The 23,333-nt window shown below is 43.1% G+C and overlaps 1 protein-coding gene across 10 annotated transcripts in view; it reads right to left on the reverse strand.

Moving 5' to 3' along the window:
• SMG6 (SMG6 nonsense mediated mRNA decay factor) overlaps positions 1–23,333 on the reverse strand; it is a 243,947-nt gene that overhangs the window by 214,233 nt on the left and 6,381 nt on the right. For 9 of the 10 annotated variants that reach the window (XM_011523769.3, XM_047435696.1, XM_005256569.5 and 6 more), the window contains 5 exons: positions 23,172–23,282; positions 18,800–18,906; positions 18,481–18,559; positions 9,554–9,664; positions 8,576–8,788 (listed from right to left, as the gene is read on the reverse strand). In XM_011523769.3, the coding sequence (XP_011522071.1) occupies positions 8,576–8,788; positions 9,554–9,664; positions 18,481–18,559; positions 18,800–18,906; positions 23,172–23,282 (621 nt within the window). Of the gene's footprint in view, positions 1–6,358; positions 6,524–8,575; positions 8,789–9,553; positions 9,665–18,480; positions 18,560–18,799; positions 18,907–23,171; positions 23,283–23,333 lie in introns of those variants that run through there. The other variant, XM_005256570.4, reaches the window with a different exon arrangement.

Genomic DNA, 23,333 nt, shown 5'->3' on the forward strand with positions numbered 1-23,333 from the left:
TCTGTCTTTGTAAATAAAGTTTTAATGGAATACAGTCATGCTCATTCATTTACATATTGTCCATGGCTACTTTGGTGGTACAACAGTAAAGGTGAGTGGTGGCAACAAAGAACATATGCCCTATAAAGTAATTTACTATCTGGCCCTTCATAGAAAAAGTTTGCTGACCTATACACTAGACTACACAATCAGAGAAAGTAACAATAGTGTATTCATCTTTACAATCCTAGCACAAAACTGGCACAACAGAACAGGTAAACTTTAGTCTACTTAAGCACTGAGCCCAGAACATGGTCTTCTACTCCAAAAACTCAGGGGCAACTGCATTAAATTCTCCAGACCTGAACAAGTCCTGAAAAAAGACATTATGCAAATAAATAAAATAGATAATGATATGTAACAGAAGGAAGAAGAGCAAAAGGAGAGAGAACAAGGTAAACAAAATCATTTGTTGGGTGAAGATAGAGAAAAAGGAAAACAGACAGACACGTATTACATTCTATTTGGATAACAGAGATTAGGAGCTTCTATGGTACAGTCCAGACTGAACCACAAAACATTCAAAGAGGCCAAGGAGAAGGAAGGTTTGACAAGAGCTTGGCCAAATATACAATGGCATTTCTCTTGTCTAAAGACATTATTTGCTACAATCAGCACCAAGCATGTTGCAGGAATAGTCACAGTGGCTTGGAGAAAATGCTGGCAATGGTAAACCAAATCATTCCACGGCAGGAAGACTCACTCAAGTTTCAGAGACAAACACCTATTGGCCACATGCAGTGGCTCAGACCTGTATTCCTAACACTTTGGAAGGCTGAGGTGGGAGGACTGCTTGAGCCTAGGAGTTTGAGACCATCCCAGGCAACATAGCAAGACCTTATCTCCACATATTTAGCAAAGCATAATGGATGGAATAAGCATAAAAAAGCATGGGCAAAAAAAAAAAAAAAAATAGGCGTGAGCATAAAAAAGGTAGAAACCTAATTATGTAGGTTCCTATCTTTTTAATTATGTCACTGAGGAAGTGTTTTAAGGGTTGTGCTCCTTCCTACATATATAAAGAATACGAGCCGGGCATGGTGGCTGACGCCTGTCATCCCAGCACTTTGGCAGGCCAAGGTGGGTGGATCACTTGAGGTCAGGAGTTCAATACCAGCCTGGCCAACATGGTGAAACCCCATCTCTACTAACAATACAAAAATCAGCTGGGCATGGTGGTGCGTGCCTGTAATCCCAGTCACTCAGGAGGCTGAGGCTGGAAGATCACTTGAACTCAGGAGGTGGCGGCTGCAGTGAGCTGAGATCACGCCGCTGCACTCCAGCCTGGGAGACAGAGCGAGACTCTGTCACAAAACAAAACAAAATTAAAATAAGTCTATCAGTCTATCATCTATCAACCACTCCCAATCCTATATGCTTTCTTCCCCAGCAGACAGACATGTATTACATTCTATTCAAGATGCTGATAACAAAACAATCAGATCTAAAAAATCCTCAGCAGTTCTATCAGAGACCCTTGCTTTTCAGTGTGAAAATGATTTCTGATGCTGTAATTTAATATCCTTAACTCCCTGACTGTCAGCAACAACCCAGTTGACAAGCAGTACCCCGTTTCTAAAGGGAGACGAAGAACAGCAGAAGATATAGCCACTAAATAACAAATGCCCAGAACCCTGGCAACGTGGATTTGGAGGGTCCTGGCTGGCAGGTGGAAGAGTTGAAATGTGAATCTCAATAGGATGCTACTTGCAGTTGAGGCTGGCAATCCCTCCCCAGGCTGGATGTTCAACCCAAACCACATCTCAAGACTAAAAACCAACAACCCACAAGCTAACCTCCTGCAACCATTCAGAGAGAGAAAGATCCAAAGCAAATGCTTGGCAGAGAACAGACTAGTTGGGATGTTACCACTGTTACTAACAACCACCTGAAGCCAAACTTTCTGTTTACTCATGGATCTAAATTTAAGCAGTCTGTATTAGAAATTCTCTAGGAGTTGTCAAAGGAACAATTCCAATTAAGGCTAATCACCCAGTTCTGCTATAATGTTCATTTTGAAAATGAGAATTTGTTTCATTGCCATAAATACATAAACGAACAATTTGGGCATAACACAAACTTTGCCTTTCCTTATGTGTGATTTTGTTTACAAGAAACACCAGGTAACACAGAGAACTGCATCCAGTTGAATCAAGCTGCACAGGAATACACAAAGCATACACACGCACACACCCCAAACATCTACAGCTACCCCAGTTCACCACAGGATCATGTTAGGAGCCAGGCCTATCCACATCTGCTGTTACAACTGTCCAGCAAACGTTTTTTTTTTGTTTTTGAGTTTTGCTCGTTGCCCAGGCTGGAGTGCAATGGTGCGATCTTGGCTCACTACAACTTCCATTTTCCAGGTTCAAGTGATTCTCCCGCCTCAGCCTCCAGAGTAGCTGGGATTACAGGCATACGTCATCACACCCAGCTTATTTTTTGTGTTTTTAGTAGAGACAGGGTTTCACTATGTTGGTCAGGCTTGTCTCGAACTTCCAACCTCAGGTGATCCACCCACCTCGGTCTCCCAAAGTGCTGGGATTACAGGCGTAAGCCACTGCACCTGGCCTCTGTCCATCAAATTTTAAGTAACCCTCCTTCTACCACTTCACAGTAACTCACAAGCCGTAACCCTTCCCAAGTCCACTTCCACATGCCAACTGTATGTCTTTTTGTTTTTTTGAGATGGAGTTTCCCTCTTATTGTCCAGGCTGGAGTGCAATGGCACAATCTCGGCTCACCGCAACCTCCACCTCCCGGGTTCAAGTGATTCTCCTGCCTCAGCCTCTTGAGTAGCTGGGATTACAGGCATGCGCCACCACGCCTGGCTAATTTTGTATTTTTAGTAGAGATGGGGTTTCTCCATGTTAGTCAGCCTGGTCTCGAACTCCCAACCTCAAGTGATCCGCCTGCCTCAGCCTCCCAAAGTGTTGGGATTACAGGCATGAGCCACTGCGCCCGGCCTACTTTATGTCTTTTTCAAGGTAAAGTGCTATGTTTAATGTAGTATTTACACATTTATTTATTTATTTATTTATTTATTTATTTATTTTTTATTTTTTTTTTTTTTGAGACAGAGTCTCGCTGTCACCCAGGCTGGAGTGCAGTGGCGCGATCTCGGCTCACTGCAAGCTCCGCCTCCCGGGTTCACGCCATTCTCCTGCCTCAGCCTCCCGAGTAGCTGGGACTACAGGTGCCTGCCACCATGCCCGGCTAACTTTTTGTATTTTTAGTAGAGACGAGGTTTCACCGTGTTAGCCAGGATGGTCTCGATCTCCTGACCTCGTGATCCGCCCGCGTTGGCCTCCTAAAGAGCTGGGATTACAGGCGTAAGCACCACGCCCGGCCATATTTACGTATTTCTTAACCATTTCACATGTATAAAATTGTACAACAGTTTTAAATCAGGCTCCTATCTTTTTCACTATGTCACTGAGAAAGTTTTTGAGGTTTGTGCTCCTAACTCCATTTTCTGCATAAGCCCTGTGTGGTTTTTATTGCATGATTTTGCACAGCACAGCAATTTTTAGGAATGTATATATTGCATTATAGCAGGAATAATTTATGTTCAAATAATAATTTTAAAAAGTAAGTTGCAGATTGTTATACATAGTACTATCCTCCTTTTTGTTAAAAAATGTATTTCAGCCAGGCTTGGTGGCTCACACCTATAATCCAAACATTTTGTGAGGCAAAGGTGGGAGGATCACTTGAGCCTAAAAGTTTGAGACCAGCCTAAGCAACATAAGGAAATCCCATCTCTACAAAACATTCTTAAAAAATTAGCCAGGCATGGTGGCGCATGCTTGCAGTCCCAGCTACTCAGAAGACTAAGGCAGGAGGATCACTTGAGCCCAGGAAATAGAGGCTCCAGTGGGCCGTGACCATGCCACCGCACCCCAGCCTGGGAAACAGAGGGAGATCCTATCTCTCAAAAAAAAATTTTATAATGCATTTCATGTTTTTACAGGTATGTGCATACACGTATACACTTATAAATGCTTAGAAAAAGGTCTGGAAGGACATCAATCAGTTAATAGTGATGTCTCCGAAGGAAAGAATACAAGTGACTGCCACTTTATATATACTTTTTTTTTTTTTTTTGAGACAAAGTCTCCCTCTGTCGCCCAGGCTGGAGTGCAATGGTGCAATCTTGGCTCACTGCAACCTCCGCCTCCCGGGTTCAAGCGATTCTCTTGCCTCAGCCTCCCGAGTAGCTGGGATTACAGGCAGACACCACTATGCCCAGGTAACTTTTTTGTATTTTTAGTACAGATGGGGTTTCACCATGTTGGCCAGGCTGGTCTCAAACTCCTGACCTCAGGTGATTGGCCCGCTTCGGCCTCCCAAAGTGCTGGCATTACAAGCGTGAGCCACCGTACCCAGCCTAAACTATATATACATTACTGTTTAATGTTGAGACAATGAATTGTTATTAGTTATGCAACTTGAAAAGTTCCTTTTAAAACAAAATAAATTTGTTCCAGTACTGGAAGTATTGGAACGAGTGATCATTATAGAAATCCAATTATATCATCCCTCTGCTTAAAATCCTTAGTACCTAAATGACTAATGTTTGACGTGACAGACATTCTAAATACCGATTTGATCATTACACATTCTGTGCACGTATAAAAATATCACATGTAGCCCATAAATATGTACAATTATTATATATCAATTTTTAAACATGACCAACACAACTCCAAAAAAATTAAAAGCCCTCAATACCTGACAGCCAAACTTCAAAATATTTATGAAGGACCTGGCCCCTGCTATCTTCTCTAGCCTCATCCCTCGCTGCCCTTCCCCTCATTCGCGTATCAACTAAGATTTATTTAGAATCTTCCATATGCAGACACTGGGGACAAAGAAGTGAACACACTAGATATGACTCTACTCTCACAGGGCCTTCAATCTAGCAAGGGAAAGATCTGCACAAAACTACACTTAAAAGCACTTAAACCAGAAATGTGGTTATTACAAAGGCGAAATGGCCAGTCTCAGGGATCAGGAAACGCTTCCTTGAAAACGTGACATTTAGGCTGAGACCTGAAGGGTAAGAAAGAAAGTGACTGATAAAGGCAGAAATACCAGTGAGAGGTAAGAGCGGTGCGGGCAGAGAGATGAACAACAGCCAGGAGCCAGAAAAGAGCTTGGATCCTTCAAGGAAGAAGCCAGTGTGGCTGGAATACAGTAACAAAGGAAGAAAAGTATGAAAAGTGTAAGATTTGAAGTAGCAGGAGCCAGATCATGAGGAGCCTAGTGGACTATGTCGAGGATTTTAGACCTGATTGTAAGAGCACACAGAAATAACTAAACACTTTCAAGAAGGCAGTGGCATGATCAGAAATGGATATTTGGAAGTTCATTCATTTGGGTTACTGTCTAAAATGAAAGGCCAGAAGAGGACCAGGAATAAATCTGAAAAGACCATTATGAACTTCTTTCCATAGTATATGGATTACTGAAATGGTGATAGCTTGAACTACGATGGCAGCAATGAGAAAGGAGAGAAGTGGATGGCTTCAAGTTACGATTAGGAGGTGGACTCAACAGTATCCACCTCCTAATACCAGGTGGTACTGACTGGATGTGGGGACAGAGGAAAGGAACATGTCAAGCACGACTCCAGTCGCTCACAGGAGAACTTCTCACACTCTAGACTCCAGCCATACTGAACTACTCGCAGTTCCTGAAGCCTCCATGCCTCATCCACATTTTCATGCCTCCAAGTAGAAATGCCTTTACGACATCTTTAAGCTGCAAAATGCGGCCTCGCCCCAGCCTTCCCTAACCATGACTGGATTAGGTGTTCCAACTGCATGCTCCCACGGCCTCTCATGCTTGCCTTTATCACAGTACTTACCACACGGAACTATAATGACACACCTATGTCTTCCTCACGTGACCAAGTGCTCTTTGAGGTTAAAAATCATTTTTGGTTATTTTAATTTCTCTATCCTCAATGCTTACTTCTTATCAATGTGTGTGTTCCAAGGAACAGAGAAAGCAAGCTAAGCTCTTGGGACCTACTGTGAGAGAAAAAAAAGAATATAGGAAGCTAACTTGGGCCTAAGAAAGCAGGTAAAAATGGCAGTGTGGTTTCCTGGATAGATAAATGAAAAGTTATGAAACTGCAGATTTCTTTTTCTTTTTTTTTTGAGACAAAGTCTGGCTTCTTTGCCCAGGCTGGAGTGCAGTGGCACGATCTCGGCTCACTGCAACCTCCGCCTCCCGGGTTCAAGCAACTCTCCTGCCTCAGCCTCCCGAGTAGCTGGGATTACAGGAGTGCGCTGCCACGCCCAGCTAATTTTTTTGCATTTTTAGTAGAGACAGGGTTTCACCATGTTGGCCAGGCTGGTCTCGAACTCCTGACCTTGTGATCTGCTCGCCTCGGCCTCCTAAAGTGCTGGGATTACAGGCGTAAGCCACCGCGTCAGGCCAGAAACTGCAGATTTCTTCGAGGGCTGGTAGCCTAAAATGAAAAGCTCAAACTCAAAGATTTAAATTTAAAGAAAATTAAGGGTAATAGTTACCCAAGGATGATGTACAAACTAAAAATATATAGTTTCATCAATAGTTTAGAAAACAAATTACCACGTTGTAGTCTACCTACAAGAATTTAAAGTTTTTACCAAAAATATATTCATCTATTATTTGTATAATTAGAAATAAAATGGGACAGACATGATACACCTCATGCCTGTAATCCCAGATCTTTGGGAGGCCACGGGAGGACTGCTTGAGGCCAGGAGTTTGAGACCAGCCTGCGCAACAGGGCAAGTCTCCATCGCTACAAAAAATTAGCTGGGTGTGGTGGCATGTGCCTGTAGTCCTAGCAACTCAGGAGGCTGAGGCAGGAAAATCACTGGAACTCAGGATTTCGATCGCATCACTGCACTCTGGCCTGAGCAACAGAGACCGACCCTGTTTTTGATTGTATTCATTTATTTTTTGGAAGGCAGAGTCTCACTCATCACTCAGGCTGCAGTGCAGTGGTGCAGCCTTGACGCTCTTGGGCTCATTCTTGACTTTTTTGAGACAGGGTCTTGCTCTGGCACCTACGCTGGATCATAGCTCATGACATCCTTGAACTCCTGGACTCAAGCAATCCTCCTGCCTCAGACTCCTGAGTAGCTAGAACTAGAGGCCCGCATCACCATGCCCAGCCAATTTTGAAAATTTTTTTACAGAGACAGAAGCCTCGTTTTGTTGACCAGGCTGGTACTGAATTCCTAGGCTCCAGCGAACCTCCTGCCTTGGCCTCCCAAAGTGCTGGGATTACAGATGGGAGCCACCACACCAGACCTTGACTCTTTCTTCTCCCTGAGCTCCCCACGTTCAACCAAGTCTTTTGGATTCTACTGTAATAATATGACTTGTGTCTGTTCACTTCTTCCCACCTCCAAAGCCATTTCTTGGTTCAAGTCTTTTTCATATCTCACTTGGAACTACCGCAGCACCCTCCTTGTCTCCTATTTCTAGTCTTACTCTTCTCCAAACATTTTACAAAGCGGCCAGGGTTTATTTCTGAAGAGCAGATGTTATTCCCCTATTTAAAGCATCCAATAGCTTCCTACTATTTTCAGGATAAAGGTCAAATAATTTATCATATGACCCTTCAACATCTAGCCCCAGCTTACACCACCCACTGGGTGAATTTTACCCTTAAGGCGCAACGAACCAGCCACTGCAGTTTTCCACCTACCGTGCTCTCTCTCCCCCAGCCAGCCTCAGCCCTTTGCATATGCTATTTCCTTTGCCTGGGAATCACTTTACCACCTCCCTTTCCTTCTCAAGCTAACTCCTACTTGTTCTTTATACTTCAATTGACCAATGGCTGCTTTGGTCCCATGGCTATGTGCTCTCATATACTGGGTGTGCACCCCAAAAACAGAAGTAATTACAATGTTAAGTCTCTTGCGTCCTCCACTAGAATGCACTGAGACAGCAAGAGATCTTGTTCACTGTTATCTTTAGTGACTGGCACACTGTCGATAATTACTTACTGAGTCAATGAAGAGGAGAAATCTTCTAAACAAGCCTGTGATTTTTCTACTGTCATTTCTCCTGGCTTAAAGGAAAAAGTCCCCGCCCAAGAGTTATAAGAGGATATCCCATAGAAAGCCCATCACAAATCAGACTAACTAACCTATCCATGCTACTTTAGTTCATTCTCGGAATATAAGGTCAACCAAGAGGAAAAGATAAGTACAAAATCCCACATAGAATCCTAAAGCATCATGTTGATGACGCTGAACAAAAAGCAGCAAAAAAAAAAAAAAAAAAAAAAAAATTCTAATCCTACTTTTACTAAATTCTGCAGTGACACATAGTGGTGAGAGAGGGAAGTACATAATAAAGATAAAGGAAGCGTACATGAGAAGGGAAAAGACCATCAGGGAGCCTCAAGTGGTTTGTCTTCCTTGCAATCAGTGGGAAGTATCTGTGCCTCACAGCTGTATGAACCAGGGCACCCAGGCTTACTGAGCTAGTTTGGCTCATTGCATCATTCTCAGGAACTTACATCACTGGGACTCAGGCTGCCCAGCCCATTCTCTTGCTCAGAATCCTTCCCAGACTCAGTGCCCTGGGAAGACCGTGGATGGGATGGATGAATCCAGATCTCCAGGCGAGTGGTGTCATCTCCAACATGCCGGAAAGTAGACTTCTTTCCTTTCCGCCACTGGTCAGGGCTCAGGTCAAATTCCTCATGTTGCTTCTTTTCCATCTGTTCTGCCTATATAACATACAAACACATTAGCTCATGGCCTGGTGTGGTGGCTCACGCCTGTAATCCCAGCACTTAGAGATGCGGAGGCAGGCGGATCACTTGAGGTCAGGAGTTTGAGACCAGCCTGACCAACATAGTGAAACCCTGTCTCTACTAAAAATACAAAATTAGCTGGGTGTGGTGGCGCATATCTGTAATCCTAGCTACTCGGGAGGCTGAGGCATGAGAATCACTTAAATCCGGGAGGCAGAGGTTGCAGTGAGCCAAGATCGCATCACTGCACTCCAGTCTGGGCAACAAGAGCGAAACTCTGTCTCAAAAACAAAAAACACACATGAGCTCAGACTTTCCTGAGACTCAGCTTACAAAGAGAAAAGCCTCACCTCACCGGTATTTATTTGACAATAAAAATACTGTACCACAGTCCCAAAGTAGCAGAGTGTCATCTGCTTTGTTTCATATAGTTATTAATTCTGTAGACTGAAGGCTGTAGAGCACGTACATGTACATCCAAGGGCCCCTGAAAGCTCTCCTGAAGATCACAGTTTTGTTCTGCACAGGGGCTGACCAACTACCCACCAGCACAGTCTGATGGGACCATTTAAGGACACTATGAGTCATTCCCCGAGGACACACAGACACTGAGCAATAACTGCACCTTGGATAAACCTCACTGGCTACGATCCTGCCGGTGCGCAGAGCTAGGGCACACCAACACTCAGGGAAATGCACTATTCGAGGAAGGAAGGGTTCTGCCACATCCCCACTCACCTTCCGCTTGGTCTCTTCAAACAAGCTCATGAGACTCTCCTTGGCAGTCAGGATAGGGTTGCTGGCAGCTAAACTGCGCATATAGTAATAGACAGCGTCAAGCTTCCTCCTCTGTGGAAAGAGGCCAGAGACATTCAGTCAACCAATTCTCGTCCTAACTCCAGCAAGAGGCAGCTGACTCAGGAAACCCTACTATCTCTCCCAGCCTGTCTCCCAAACTGAGAGGAATCCCAACAACAAAATCAGAAATGCTATCCACAGGAGAAGCCATTGCAATTACATCACAGATCTCTTCTTGCACAGTATTATATCTTACATGCAGAGGTGCTCCAAGAACCAAGTACTCATAAGGAGAGAAAGGAATAAACAGGCTCTTAAAATATAAACAGAAATTACATCTTGTTCTTAGAAAAAGCATGATGTTCAATTCACTTTATATTTCCTGTTCTTATCAGAGAGTCAGTATGCTATAATGAAATCACGAAATTACAAGCCAGACAGACCTTGGTCCAAATACTGGCTAATCCAGGAGTTGACTCGGAAACTTTGGACAAAAGACTCCAAGATTATTACATTATTATGTAATAATCTTCCTGAGTTCCTATATCCTCAACATTACAATGGGAGTAATAATACCCAATGGAGGAGTATCCTCAGGTTTACAAAGTGTTGTCCACTGTCTCACACTTAACTGTACTTAATCAATGATGTTGCCATTGTTATTGATAATTTTTTAAAATAAATAAGTAGCTGAGTTGAACATTTTATGGATATTATTCAAGAAATTCAGCAAGTCTATTTATAAGCAATTAATAGGGAAAAGAAGAAGTAAAGAAAAAGGAAGTGGGTCAGAAAGAAGGAAAAAGGAAAACATTGAAACAAAGGCAGAAAGAATATCCAAAAGGCTTTCTCACTTTTTCTCCAACTTCATGTACATTTTCAATGTTTTCCATAACTGTTTCAAAATACATTTAAAATGCTAGCTTCTCTCTCTCCCCAGCGTCTACCCATTCTTCAAAACTCCTATCTTATATTCACCTGGCATGGCTAGAGGTGCAGGTTCTAAGGTCAGTGCCTGAGTCTGAATTCGGTCTTGCATTTATTAGGTATGACACAGCACGTTAACCTAGAGAGGTTTCCTTATTTGCAAAATGGAAATGTTTACAACATATGGCTCCCAAAAAGATTAAAATTATATAATGCATATAGTTTAACAGAATATTTGGCACACCATTACAGTTACTTGGTAGCTATTTTTATTATTATTCCAATCCATACTAATTTCTATCTACACTACTCACCTGATTTGAGACTGTATTATATTAATTCTATAAAATATTTTTTCATATGAAAAAATTTCCAAAACAGAGATACAACTTACAATCGGTATCTATTGTTATGTCTTATTTTAATTTGCAGCATTTTTCTTAGTGGAACAGAAGATAATGGTGCATCTAACAATCAATTACATATTTATCAAGTCTAATTTGCATCACTGTCTATACAGCTCACTTGTTTTCTCAACACATTTTTTTTTTCAGGGAAGAAAGCAAGTCAATATTTTATCATTCCTGGCACCTAGAAAAGCACTACTGTACACGTGTTGTGTTCTCAATAAATACCTGAGATTCACTGATTGGAAGAGACAGAATGACTGACTGATTGGAATTGGCAGAAAAGTTGGGAAAATGTTGCTAACAGACAACTAAGATGAGACAGACAGAAAAAAGAGGGATAGAGGAAAAGAACTTGAAGAAAGTGCGAATCTAGGTCAGAGGTCTGTGAAAAAGAAAATTTAATTCAAATGACAAAAAGCCATTGAGGGAATTCAGCACAGTTGCAACATACAAGATCAACACACGAAATTCAGTTACATTTCTATATACTAGCAATGAGCAATCTGAAAAAAAAGAAATTAAGAAAACAATTTCTGGCTAGGCCCAATGGCTCAGGCTTATAATCCCAGCACTTTAGGAGGCAGAGGGAGGAGGCTCACTTGAAGCCAGGAGTTCAGGACCAGCCTTGGCAACGCAGTGAGACCCTCTTTTCTTTTTTTTTTTCTTTTTTGAGACGAAGTCTCGCTCTGTCATCCAGGCTGGAGTGCAGTGGCATGATCTCAGCTCACTGCAAACTCCACCTCCCGGATTTGAGCAATTCTCCCGCCTCAGCCTCCCGAGTAGCTGGGACTACAGGTGTGTGCTGCCACACCTGGCTAATTTTTATATTTTTAGTAGAGATGGGGTTTCACCAAGTTAGCCAGGCTGGTCTGGAACTCATGACCTCAAGTGATCCGCCTGCCTCAGCCTCCCAAAGTGCTGGGATTACAGGGGTCAGACACCCCACCTGGCCAAGACCCTGTCTAAAAAAATAGAGAGAAAGACAGAGAAAAAAAAGAAAACAATTCCTTTTGCAAAAGCATCAAAAAGAATGACATACTTAGGAATACATTTAACCAAGGAAGTGCAAAACTTATTATACACAGGGTTAAAAGAAATTAAAGAACGAAGTAAATGAAAAGACACCCTGTGTTCATGAATTAGAAGGCTTAATATTTTGAAGATGGCAATACTTCCCAAAGCAATCTACAGATTCAGTGCAACCTTATCAAAATTCCAATGATTTTGCAAAAATGAAAAAGCTGACCCTAAAATCCATACATAATTACAAGGGACCTCAAATGGCCAAAAAAAAAAAAAAAAAACGAAGTTAGGGGACTCACATTTCCCAATTTTTCTTACCACAAACCTACAGTAACTAACACAGCTGTGGTACTGGCATGAGGACTGACATATAAATCAATGGAAGAAAACTGAGAGCTCAGAAAAAACCCACATATAAAGTGACTTTTTACAAGGGAACCAAGACCATTCAATGAAGAAAGAGCAGTCTCTTCAACAAATGGTGCTGAGAGAATGTAATAACCACATGTAAAAGAATGAAGTTGGACCTTTACCTCATACTATATATAAAAATTCACCTAAAATTAATCAAAGGCCTAAATATAAGAGGTAAAAGTCTAAAACTCTAAGAAGAAAACGTAGAGGTAAATTTTCCAAACCTTGGATTTGGTAATGGTTTCATAGCTATGACATCGAAAGTGAAAGGAACAAAAGAAAAAAAGATAAACTGGACTTCAGCAAAATTAAAAAACACTTGTGCATCGAAAGATATTCTCAGCAGAATGAAAAGACAATCCACAAAATGGAAGAAAATGTTTGCAAATTATGTATCTAATAAAGGTCTAGCATCCAGAATATATAAAGAACTCATACATCTTGACAACACAAAACATAAAATAATTTTTTTTTTTTTTTTTTTTTTTTTTGAGACAGAGTCTCGCTCTGTCGCTCAGGCTGGAGTGCAGTGGCGTGATCTTGGCTCACTGCAAGCTCCGCCTCTCGGGTTCACGCCATTCTCCTGCCTCAGCCTTCCCAGTAGCTGGGACTACAGGCGCCTGCCACTGCGCCTGGCTAATTTTTTGTATTTTTAGTAGAGACGGGGTTTCATCGTGGTCTCAATCTCTTGACCTCGTGATCCGCCCGCCTCGGCCTCCCAAAGTGCTGGGATTACAGGCGTGAGCCACTGGGCCCGGCTAAAATAACAATTTTTAAATGGACAAAGGACTTGAATAGACATTTCTCCAAAGATGATATGCAAATGACCAATGTGCATATGAAAAAATGCTCATCATTAGGGAAACATAAATTAAAACCATAATGTGATATCACCTCACCACCACTACGATGGCTACTATCAGAAATGCAGAAAATAACAAGTGTTGGCAAGGAAGTGGAGAAATCAGAAGCCTTGCATGCTGTTGGTTGGAATGTAAAATGGTGTAGCTGCTATGGAAAACAATATGGTTGTTCTAAAAACCTAAAATCAGAATTACCAAATGATCTAGTAATTCGTTTTCTGGGTATGTACCCAGAAGAATTGGAAGCAGGGTCTTGAAGAGATTTTATTTGAACACCCATGTTCACTGTGGCATTATTCACAATAGCCAACAGATGGAAGCAATCCAAGTATCCATCAATGGGTGAACGTACATATAAAATGTGGTATATATACACAATGAAATGTAATTCACCCTCCAAAAGGAGGAAATTCTGACACATGCTACAACATGGATGAACCTTGAGGACCTAAGCTAAGTGAAATAAGCCAGTCACAAGAGGACAAATACTGTATAATTCCACTTATATGAGGTACCTAGAGTAGCCAAATTCATAGTGACAGAAAGCAGAAGGTTAGTTGCAGAGGTTGTGGGAAGAGAGAAGTGGGAGCTGTTATTTAATAGATATGGAGTTCCAGTTTTGTAAAATGAAAAGCATTCTGGAGGTTCGTTACACTACAATATGAATGTACGTAATGCTACTGAAGCTACACTTAAAAATGGGTAAGACAGGCAGGGCATGGTGGCTCACGCCTGTAATCCCAGCACTTTCGGAGGCCAAGGTGGGTGGATCACCTGAAGTCTGGAGTTCGAGACCAGCCTGGCCAACATGGTGAAACCCCATCTGCATTAAAAATACAAAAATTAGCCAGGCGTGGTGGTATAAGCCTGTGGTCCCAGCTACTCAGGAAGCTGAGAAAGGAGAATCACTTGAACCCGGGAGGTGGAGGTTACAGTGAGCCAAGATCGTGCCACTGCACTCCAGCCTGGGCCACAGAGCGAGACTCCATCACAAAAAAAAGAAAAAGAGCAAGACAGCCCGGGAGTGGTGGCTCATGCCTGTAATCCCAGCACTTTGGGAGGCTGAGGCAGGTGGCTAGCTTGAAGTCAGGAGTTCAAGACCAGCCTGAGCAACATAGTGAAACCAAATCTCTACTAAAAATACAAAAAATTTAGCCAAGTGGGGTGGCATGCGCCTGTGGTCCCAGCTACTTGGGAGGCTGGGGTAGGAGGATCACTTGAGCCTGGGAGGCAGAGGTTGCAGTGAGCCAAGATTAGGCCACTGCACTCCAGCCTGGGTGACAGAGACCTTCTCTCAATTAAAAAAAAAAAAAAAGTGGGTAAGATAGGCAGGGCTGGTGGCTCACACCTGTATCCTAGCACTTTGAGAGGCTGAGGTGGGCAGATCACTTAGGAGCTCAGGAGTTCAAGACCAGCCTGGATAACATGGCGAAATCCCGTCTCTACAAAAAATACAAAAATTAGCCAGGCGTGAGCAGCCAGGCGCGGTGGCTCACGCCTGTAATCCCAGCACTTTGGGAGGCTGAGGTGGGCGGATCACGAGGTCAGGAGATTGAGACCATCCTGGCTAACACAGTGAAACCCCGTCTCTACTAAAAATACAAAAAATTAGCCGGGTGTGGTGGAGGGCGCCTGTAGTCCCAGCTACTCGGGAGGCTGAGGCAGGAGAATGGCGTGAACCCGGGAGGTGGAGCTCGCAGTGAGCCGAGATTGCGCCACTGCACTCCAGCCTGGGCAACAGAGCAAGACTCTGTCTCAAAAAAAAAAAAAAAAAAAAAATTAGCCAGCTGTGGTGGCGGGCACCTGTAGTTGCATCTATTTGGGGGGCTGAGGCAGAAGAATAGCTTGAACCTGGGAGGTTGAGGCTGCAGTGAGCTGAGGTCATGCCACTGTATTCCAGCCTGGGTGACAAAGTGAGACCCTGCCTCAAAAAAAGAAAAAAAAAATTAAGTGACTGGGAGCAGTGACTCATGCCTGTAATCTCAGCAGTTTGGGAGGCCAACGCAAGAGGATCACTTGAGGCCAGGAGTTCCAAGACCTGCCTGGGCAACGGAGTGAGATCCTGTCTATACAAAAAATCAAAATATTACCTGGGTATGATGGTGAGTGCCTGTAGTCCCAGCTAATCAGGAGGCTAAGGCAGGAGGATCACTTGAGCCCAGGAGGTCGAGACTGCAGTGAGCTATGATTGTGTCACTGCACTCCAGCCTAGGTGACAGAGTGCGATCCTATCTCTTAAATATATATACACACATATATATGTGGGTAAGAGGATAAATTCTATGAGTATTTTACAATTAAAATTTTAAAACTGCCAGGTGCGGTGGCTCACGCATATAATCCCAGTGTGAGGCTGAGGTAGGTGGATCACTTGAGGTCACAAGTTCAAGACCAGCCTGGCCAACATGGTGAAACCCCATCTCTACTAAAAATACAAAAAAATTAGCAGGGGCTGGTGGTGTGCACCTGTAATCCCAGCTACCCTGGAGGCTGAGGCAGGAGAATAGCTTGAACCCAGGAGGCGGAGGTTACAGTAAGCCGAGACTACTGCAGCGCTGCACTCCGGCCTGCGCAACAAAGCGAGGCTCCATCTCAAAAAAAAATAATTATTATTTTATACATATATATATATATATATATATATGTAATTAAAATTTTTCTCAATGAGCAATGAAATAGATATTTCTCCCAATAGCAAATCAGCACATGAAAAGATGCACATCATTAGTTGCTAGGAGAATCCAATAAAAAACCACAATGAGTTATCACTTAATACTCACTAGGTTTGTGGATACCAACAAAGTGATTCTAAAGTTTACATGGGAAGGCAAAAGATCCAGAATAGCCAATACAATACTGAAAAACAAAGGTGGAAGACTGACACTACTGAACTTCAAGACATAAATAAAGTTACAGGAACCAAGACAGTGTGGTACTGACCAAAGAACAGAGAAATAGATGAACAGAGAGGCCAGAAATAAACTTATGCAAATATAGTCAGCTGGTCTTTGACAAAGGAGCAAAGGCAATTCGATGGTAAAAGGACAGTCATTTCAACAAATGGTGCTAGAACAACTGTATATCCACCTGCATCAATAAATCTATACACGAGCCTTACACTTTTCACAAAAATTAACTCAAAATGTATTACAGACTTAAATGTAAAACATAAAACTATACAACTGCTAGAAAATAACACAACATTAAGCTAGCCGTGGGTGTGAAGACAACTTCTTAAATAAAACACCAGAAGCATAACCCATGAAAGAAATAACTGGTAAGATGGATTTCACTAAAATTTAAAACTTCTGCTCTGCAAAAGACACTGCTGAAGAATGTGAAGACAAGCCACAGTCTGGAAGAAAATAGATGCAAATCACACACCTGATAAAGGACTTGTAACCAAAATATATAAAGAACTCTTAAATAAGGGAAAAAACTCAATTTTAAAAATGGGCAAAAAAGTAGTGGGGGGGCCAAAAGATCTGAACACCTCACTGAATAAGATATGTAGATGGCAAGCATATGAAAAGACGCTCAACATCGTGTGTCATTAGAGAACTGCAAAAAGTCATACATTATATGATCCCATTTATGTGAGACATCCAGAACAGGTAAAGATACAGAGACAGAAATCAGACTAGTGGTTGTCAGGGGCTGAGGGGAGGCAGGGATGGAAAGCGTAAGTATCAGGTCTCCTTTGGGGTGATGAAAATGTTCTGACACATGGCCAGGTGCGGTGGCTCACGCCTGTAATCCCAGCACTTTGGGAGGCCGAGGCGGGCGGATCACGAGGTCAGGAGGTCGAGACCATCCTGGCTAACACAATGAAACCCCGTCTCTACTAAAAATATAAAAAACTAGCCGGGCGTGGTGGCGGGCGCCTGTAGTCCCAGCTACTCGGGAGGCTGAGGCAGGAGAATGGCGTGAACCCGGGAGGCGGAGCTTGCCGTGAGCCGAGATCGCGCCACTGCACTCCAGCCTGAGCGACAGAGCGAGACTCCGTCTCAGAAAAAAAAAAAAAGGAAAATGTTCTGACACTAGATAAAGGTGATGGTTAATTGTACTTTCTAATTAACAGTTCATTCAACGATTACAAAGAAGGAATCAGGAAAAGACGGATATAGAGAAAAAGGGAAGAAAAAATAGTGCTGCAAAGAGGGCGGGAAAAAAAATCCCATAAACCCATCACGGAGAATGAGACAGAGGCAAAAACCGGAGAGAGATCAACCAATTCTGAAAGAAGTGTTTCAGTAAACCACATTACTTAATCAACTATTTCAATCCATAATTATTAAGAATTTTCTTGGGAGGCTGAGGCTGGAGGATCACTTCGGCCCAGGTGTTTTGAGGCCAGCCTGGGCAACAAAGCAATACCCCGTCTCTACAGAAAAATACTTGTCATCCGGGTGCAGCAGTGTGTGCCTGCAGTCCCAGTTACTTGGGAGGCTGAGGCAGGAGGATCACCTAAGCCAGTAGTTTGCGTCACTGCACTCCAGCCTGGGTGACAGAGCAAGACCCTGCCTCTCTTAAAAAAAAAAAAAAAAAAAGAGAGAGACAATTTTCTCCTTGCTAATGAGCATCTTATTTGTTTCTTACGATGGAACCTCTGGTACCTACCACTGGTCCCCACTTTCCCCCTTGAATTGAGCTTTCTCCCTAGGAGCTGTCTCAGCTCCCAAGGCCCGCTTCTCCATTACAGACATATTTAGAGCACAGTGATTAGACCTAGGGAGGTACAACCTGCTGCTTACTGTGCTTCTGCTAAGGAGGCACCTCAGATAAAAAGTTAAAAGAAGTAACAGGGTCTAGGGAAAGGAAGCAAAGATCTGACTACTTAGAGGTAGGTGAAAACTTTAAGGGAGAGAAGTAAGCCTTATTTTTCGTCTAGAATGAGTTGCCTAGTTCAACAGAAAGGGAAGAGAATCAAGACAAAATTCAGAGTGGCAGCTCTGGTCAGAAACAAAGAATGGTGTTTAGCTGGAGCATGAGCATTCCCTCAGGAATTTGAGTGCAGTGGTAAGTGGAGAGATGAAGTACAGAGTTAAGTGAAGTGAGGAATCCCTGACAACTTAATTCTGAGAGTAACCGTAACAAAAGGAGTTTGAGGGGATATTCTTTGGGCTACAGTGATGAGATGAAATGAAGCTCCAGGAACTGATATTATCAAACTCCATATTGTAAGATACTTCCTGCAAAGCACTTTTCCCCTGTCCACAGGATTTCTTACCGTATACACTGCCAGCAAAGCCAACTGGTTATAGGGGCGCCCATTCTTGGGAGCAATGTGCTGGGCCTTCAGGTACCAACTAGAACAGAAAAAACAGTAAGAAAATGCTAGTTCCAGATTAGCTTTTTCCCAATTCATCCTGATAGCCCTAATACTTAAAACATAAGGTAGAGTGTTAGATGTAACCCTGGAGGGGTAAGGCATGACTACAGGGACCAATAGGGACACCTGTACAACACCCACATGGCCTACTGCTCTTAGTAAGGCTTAGCTTAGAGCCACATAGGGAAGAGAAATAACGAAGCAGAGGTAAAAGTACCTGCGTGCTTTCCCATAATTCGCTGTATCACTGGCTTGCTCCCGGTACCTAGCAATATCTCCTTGGCATATCATGCATCGCTGGGCACTGATCAAGGCATATTTTACCTTCAGGAAAAACAACCAGTTAGTAGAAAAGCCAAGAAACACTAACTTCAACCCTCAAAGGACAGGGATGGGGTGAAAATGACAATGTAGCACTCGTAAGGCACTAGCGGTCCTCAACAAAGTATAAAGTTTTTAGCCTAAACCTGACTACCAAAAAAACACAACAAACTATAAAGTTTTCAGCCTAAACCTGACTACCAAAAAAACAGTCAGCAGTGTGATACAAAATTTAGTGAGAAAGAGAGAGGGTGATTCTTGAGTCCCAGGCAAATGAAAGAAAATATTTTGATATTAGTAGTCAGGAGATCTGACTCTACGGAATAGTGTTGGATCTCAAGGAAGTCTTTGAGATGCTCTGGGACTCAGTTTCTTCACCTGAATGTAAAAGTAACTACTCTATAGGGTAACTGGAGGAAATAAATGTAAAAATATTTTATAAACTATAAAGAGACAAACAAATATGAAAACAATTGTTTACTCTATTCTTTTTTTTCCCCCCTAATAATTTCTGAGACAGCGTCTCACTCTGTTGCCCAGGCTGGAGTGTAGTGGCGTGATCTCAGCTCACTGCAACCTCCACCTCCTGAGCTCAAGTGATTCTCGTGCCTCAGCCTCCTGAGTAACTGGGATGATAGGCATGCGCCACCATGCCTGGCTAATTTTTTTATTTTTAATAGAGACAGGGTTTCGCCATGTTGCCCAGGCTGGTCTCAAACTCCTGGCCTCAAGTGATCCATGTGCCTGCCTCAGCATCCCAAAGTGCTGGGATTACAGGCGTGAGCCATCACGCCCACCCACTTTTTTTGCCATCATTATAGTCTTTCTTCAAACTGTTAACATCACTGAATTGTACCACGGCATTACATTACCTTCACCTAAAACAATGGATCGTCCTTTATCACACATTAACAACGTGCCACACACTGTGCAGGACTATGTGTTTTCTCACTGATTGGCTTGGCATCTGTCACTCAGAAAACAGAGTAAACCAATCCCAAGGCATGTGCCCCCCAAAATATCTCCCTAGGGAACACCACCTCACAGCACACAATATAATTCCACTCCACTCCACACAAAAGAAATTAACATATCACTGAATAAAGAACAAAGCTTCATTGAGAAGAAGATACTGACCCCTCAGGAAGGCACACTCACTAAGCGAAATAGCTACTGCACATTAACCTCCTACCTAGCACATAACTCAAATTTGTACCTCAGCAAAGTTATAATGACTACATATCACATACCCCAAGTCCTAACTGTTCCACAGATTCTATGAATGAACATCCCCAAAGGTGTTAAGAATCCTCTGTATTTAACTGATAAAGCACAAAGAGAACTGATTATGCCTCCATACTACATCCACTTTGTCATGTTGGTAAGAGACAAAAACAAAACAAAACAAAACAAATTCTTTCAAAGGCTCTCCGTCAGCCTCAGCATGAAGTCCTGGACGATTGAGCCTCTGCTTACCTCATCAGCACCATATTCCCGGTCACTTTCTGTACCTCAGTCAGACCAGACTCCAAAGTTCCCCTAACACACCACGGTGTTCTCCACTTCAGGGCCTTTAAGTATATTGTCCTCTTCCCCTAAAATGTTCCTCTCCTTGCATCTACACATACACCTTCACCTGGCTGAAGCTTTCGGCCTTCAGCGTTAGTTTAACTATGATTTTCTCAGTCTCACAGGATTCTTTAAAACTAGGTTAACCCTTTACAGTATACACCCCCAACATCCTTGGCAAAAGTCACTCCATCAGCAATTACTCATCCAAAGTCTGTACTCACCAGCAATCAAACACTAAACTCCAAGAAACAGGAGCACGGTTTTTTTTCAATCTGCACTGAATTGCCTCTGCCTAAAATACCACCAAGCATGTAAGAGGAACTCAATAAACACTTTTTTTTTTTTTTGAGATAGAGTCTCACTTTGTTGCCCAGGCTAGAGTGCAATAACGCAGTCTTAGCTCACTGCAACCACTGCCTTCTGGTTTTTAAGCGATTCTCCTGTCTCAGCCTCCTGAGTAGCTGGGATTACAGGCATGCACCACCACACCCAGCTAATTTTTGTATTTTTAGTAGAGAGGGGGTTTCGCCATGTTGGGCCAGGCTGGTCTCAAACTCCTGACCTCAGGTGATCTGCCTGCCTTGGCCTCCCAAAGGGCTGGGATTAAAGAGTGAGCCACTGCGCCCAGCCAAAAACATCTGTCCATCAGTAAGAAAGTGTGTATGTAGTAGAAGGAGCAAAAAGGCAAGAGGAAGCCTCTGCTCCATAAATCACGCTGCTCTCCCTAATGCATCTCTAACTGCTTCCTAAATATGCTCAACTTTCCAATCTTAAAACAAAAACTGGCCAGGCGTGGTACAGACAAAAAAAACGAAAAACAAAGAACAAAAAACCTTCTCTTAGAACCCTATGTTCTTTTAGCTGTCTTCCCTCCTTGTCTTCGCAGCCAAGATGCTTAAAAGAATGGTCTATATTACTCTCTGGCAATCTCTACTGCTTTATCTCTCTTCACTACAATCCGGCTTCCAGTTTCCCCAACTAAATTAACTCTTGATAAGTTCATCCAATCCAACGGACACTTTTTAGTAATCTTAACATTTGACAGCTCCATTGCACTTGACAATTTTACCTACCCCCACCTTGAAATGTAACCCCCGTTTCTGGCCAGCCTTCCCAGTACCCCAACTTTTGCTTCAACCACCACCTGTATCATGATGACTCATGAATCTATATCACCAGCCCAGCTTTCTCCTGACCTCCAGAGAGACCACAATATTCACTTGTTCACTTTCAAGTTCCTGTAACACACACACCTCCACATCAGCATATCCAAACCTGAACCAATCTCTTTCCTTTGCAGCCACTCCCCTGGACTACCAGCTGGGAGATGATTCAGACTCTTCATGCCTCCAATCTCATCCCTCACACCAAATCAGTCAACAATTCCATTCTATTTCCTTTCTTTCTTTCCAATCTGTCTTCTCTTTCCCATCTCCACGACCTCTATCTTAGTTCAGACCTACAACCTGACTCCTCTATCTCCACTCTTGCCCAGCTCCCATTCAAACTCACCAATTTGCCCAAGTGACTGGTTCTAAGAACAAATCTACCTTATCCATTTACTAAAAAATCAATTAATGGTTCCCCAGTGCTTTCAGAATGAAGTCCAAACTCTTCGGCATAGCATATGAGAGTTTATGACCTAGTCGCTTCCCACTTTGTTAGCTTTTCCACCTACAATAGCCCCCTCCACACTACAAACACCAGCATACTGAAGTTCTTGCACTTTCCCAACAATGCCTGGTTCTCTTTTGCTGGACCCTCTATCTAAACTGCCCCTCCCACCTTCAAACTCCTAGTCATGTTTCAAAACTCAGCTTGACAATCTCCAAGAAGCCTTCCTTGGCCCCACCAGGCTACGTTAGATTCACTTCTCCCTATGGCCCTTCAACACTCTATATCAGGGGTCCCCAGCCCCCAGGCCGCGGACTGGTACCAGTCTCTGGTCTGAGCGGTGGGCAGGCAAGCATCACCACCTGAACCCTAACTCCTGTCAGATCAGCAGCGGTATTAGTTCTCACAGGTGCGCAAACCCTATTGTGAACTAAGCATGCGAGGGACCTAGGCTATGCACTCCTCATGAGAATCTAATGCCCCAACATCTCCGTCCATGGAAAAACTGTCTTCCATGAAACTAGTCCCCGGTGCCAAAAAGGCTAGGGACTGGCCAGGCCCGGTGGCTCATGCCTGCAATCCCAGCACTTTGGGAGGCTGAGGCGGGTGGCTCACCGAAGGTCAGAAGTTCGAGACCAGCCTGGGCAACATGATGAAACCCCCGTCTCTACAAAACATAGAAAAATTAGCCAGGCTTGGTGGTGGGCACCTGTAACGCCAGCTACTCGGGAGACTGACAGAGGAGAATCCCTTAAACCTGGGAGGCAGAGGTTGAAGGTTACAGTGAGCCAAGATCAAACCACTGCACTCCAGCCTGGGTGACATGAATGAAACTCCTTCTCAAAAAATGAAAAAAAAAAAAAAAAGAAAGAAAGAAAGAAAAAAGGCTGGGGAGCACTGCTATATACCACTACCATAGTACATATGACATTACAATTGTTGGTTTAATCTATCTGTCCCTGCACTGAACTGTATCATTATTTTATCCTCAACACCCAGTACAGTGTCTAGCACATACCTAACACTAGATAAACGCTTACGAAATGAATGAAAATTTAAGATACATAAAGAAGGTAGCTTACTGTCTTGCGTAATGGCTTGCTGCGAATGGCAAGACCATCCATGTAGTCTTCCAGTTTGAACTTGTAAGTAACCTGCAGCTTCTGAAGCAAACTATCAAAGAAGTCACTACCCTATAAAAAGAAAAAAAGAAATGACTGAATCAATCTATTCTAATCCAACCT

This window comes from Homo sapiens, chromosome 17 (genome assembly GCF_000001405.40).
Source record: "Homo sapiens chromosome 17, GRCh38.p14 Primary Assembly".
Lineage (NCBI taxonomy): Eukaryota > Metazoa > Chordata > Mammalia > Primates > Hominidae > Homo > Homo sapiens.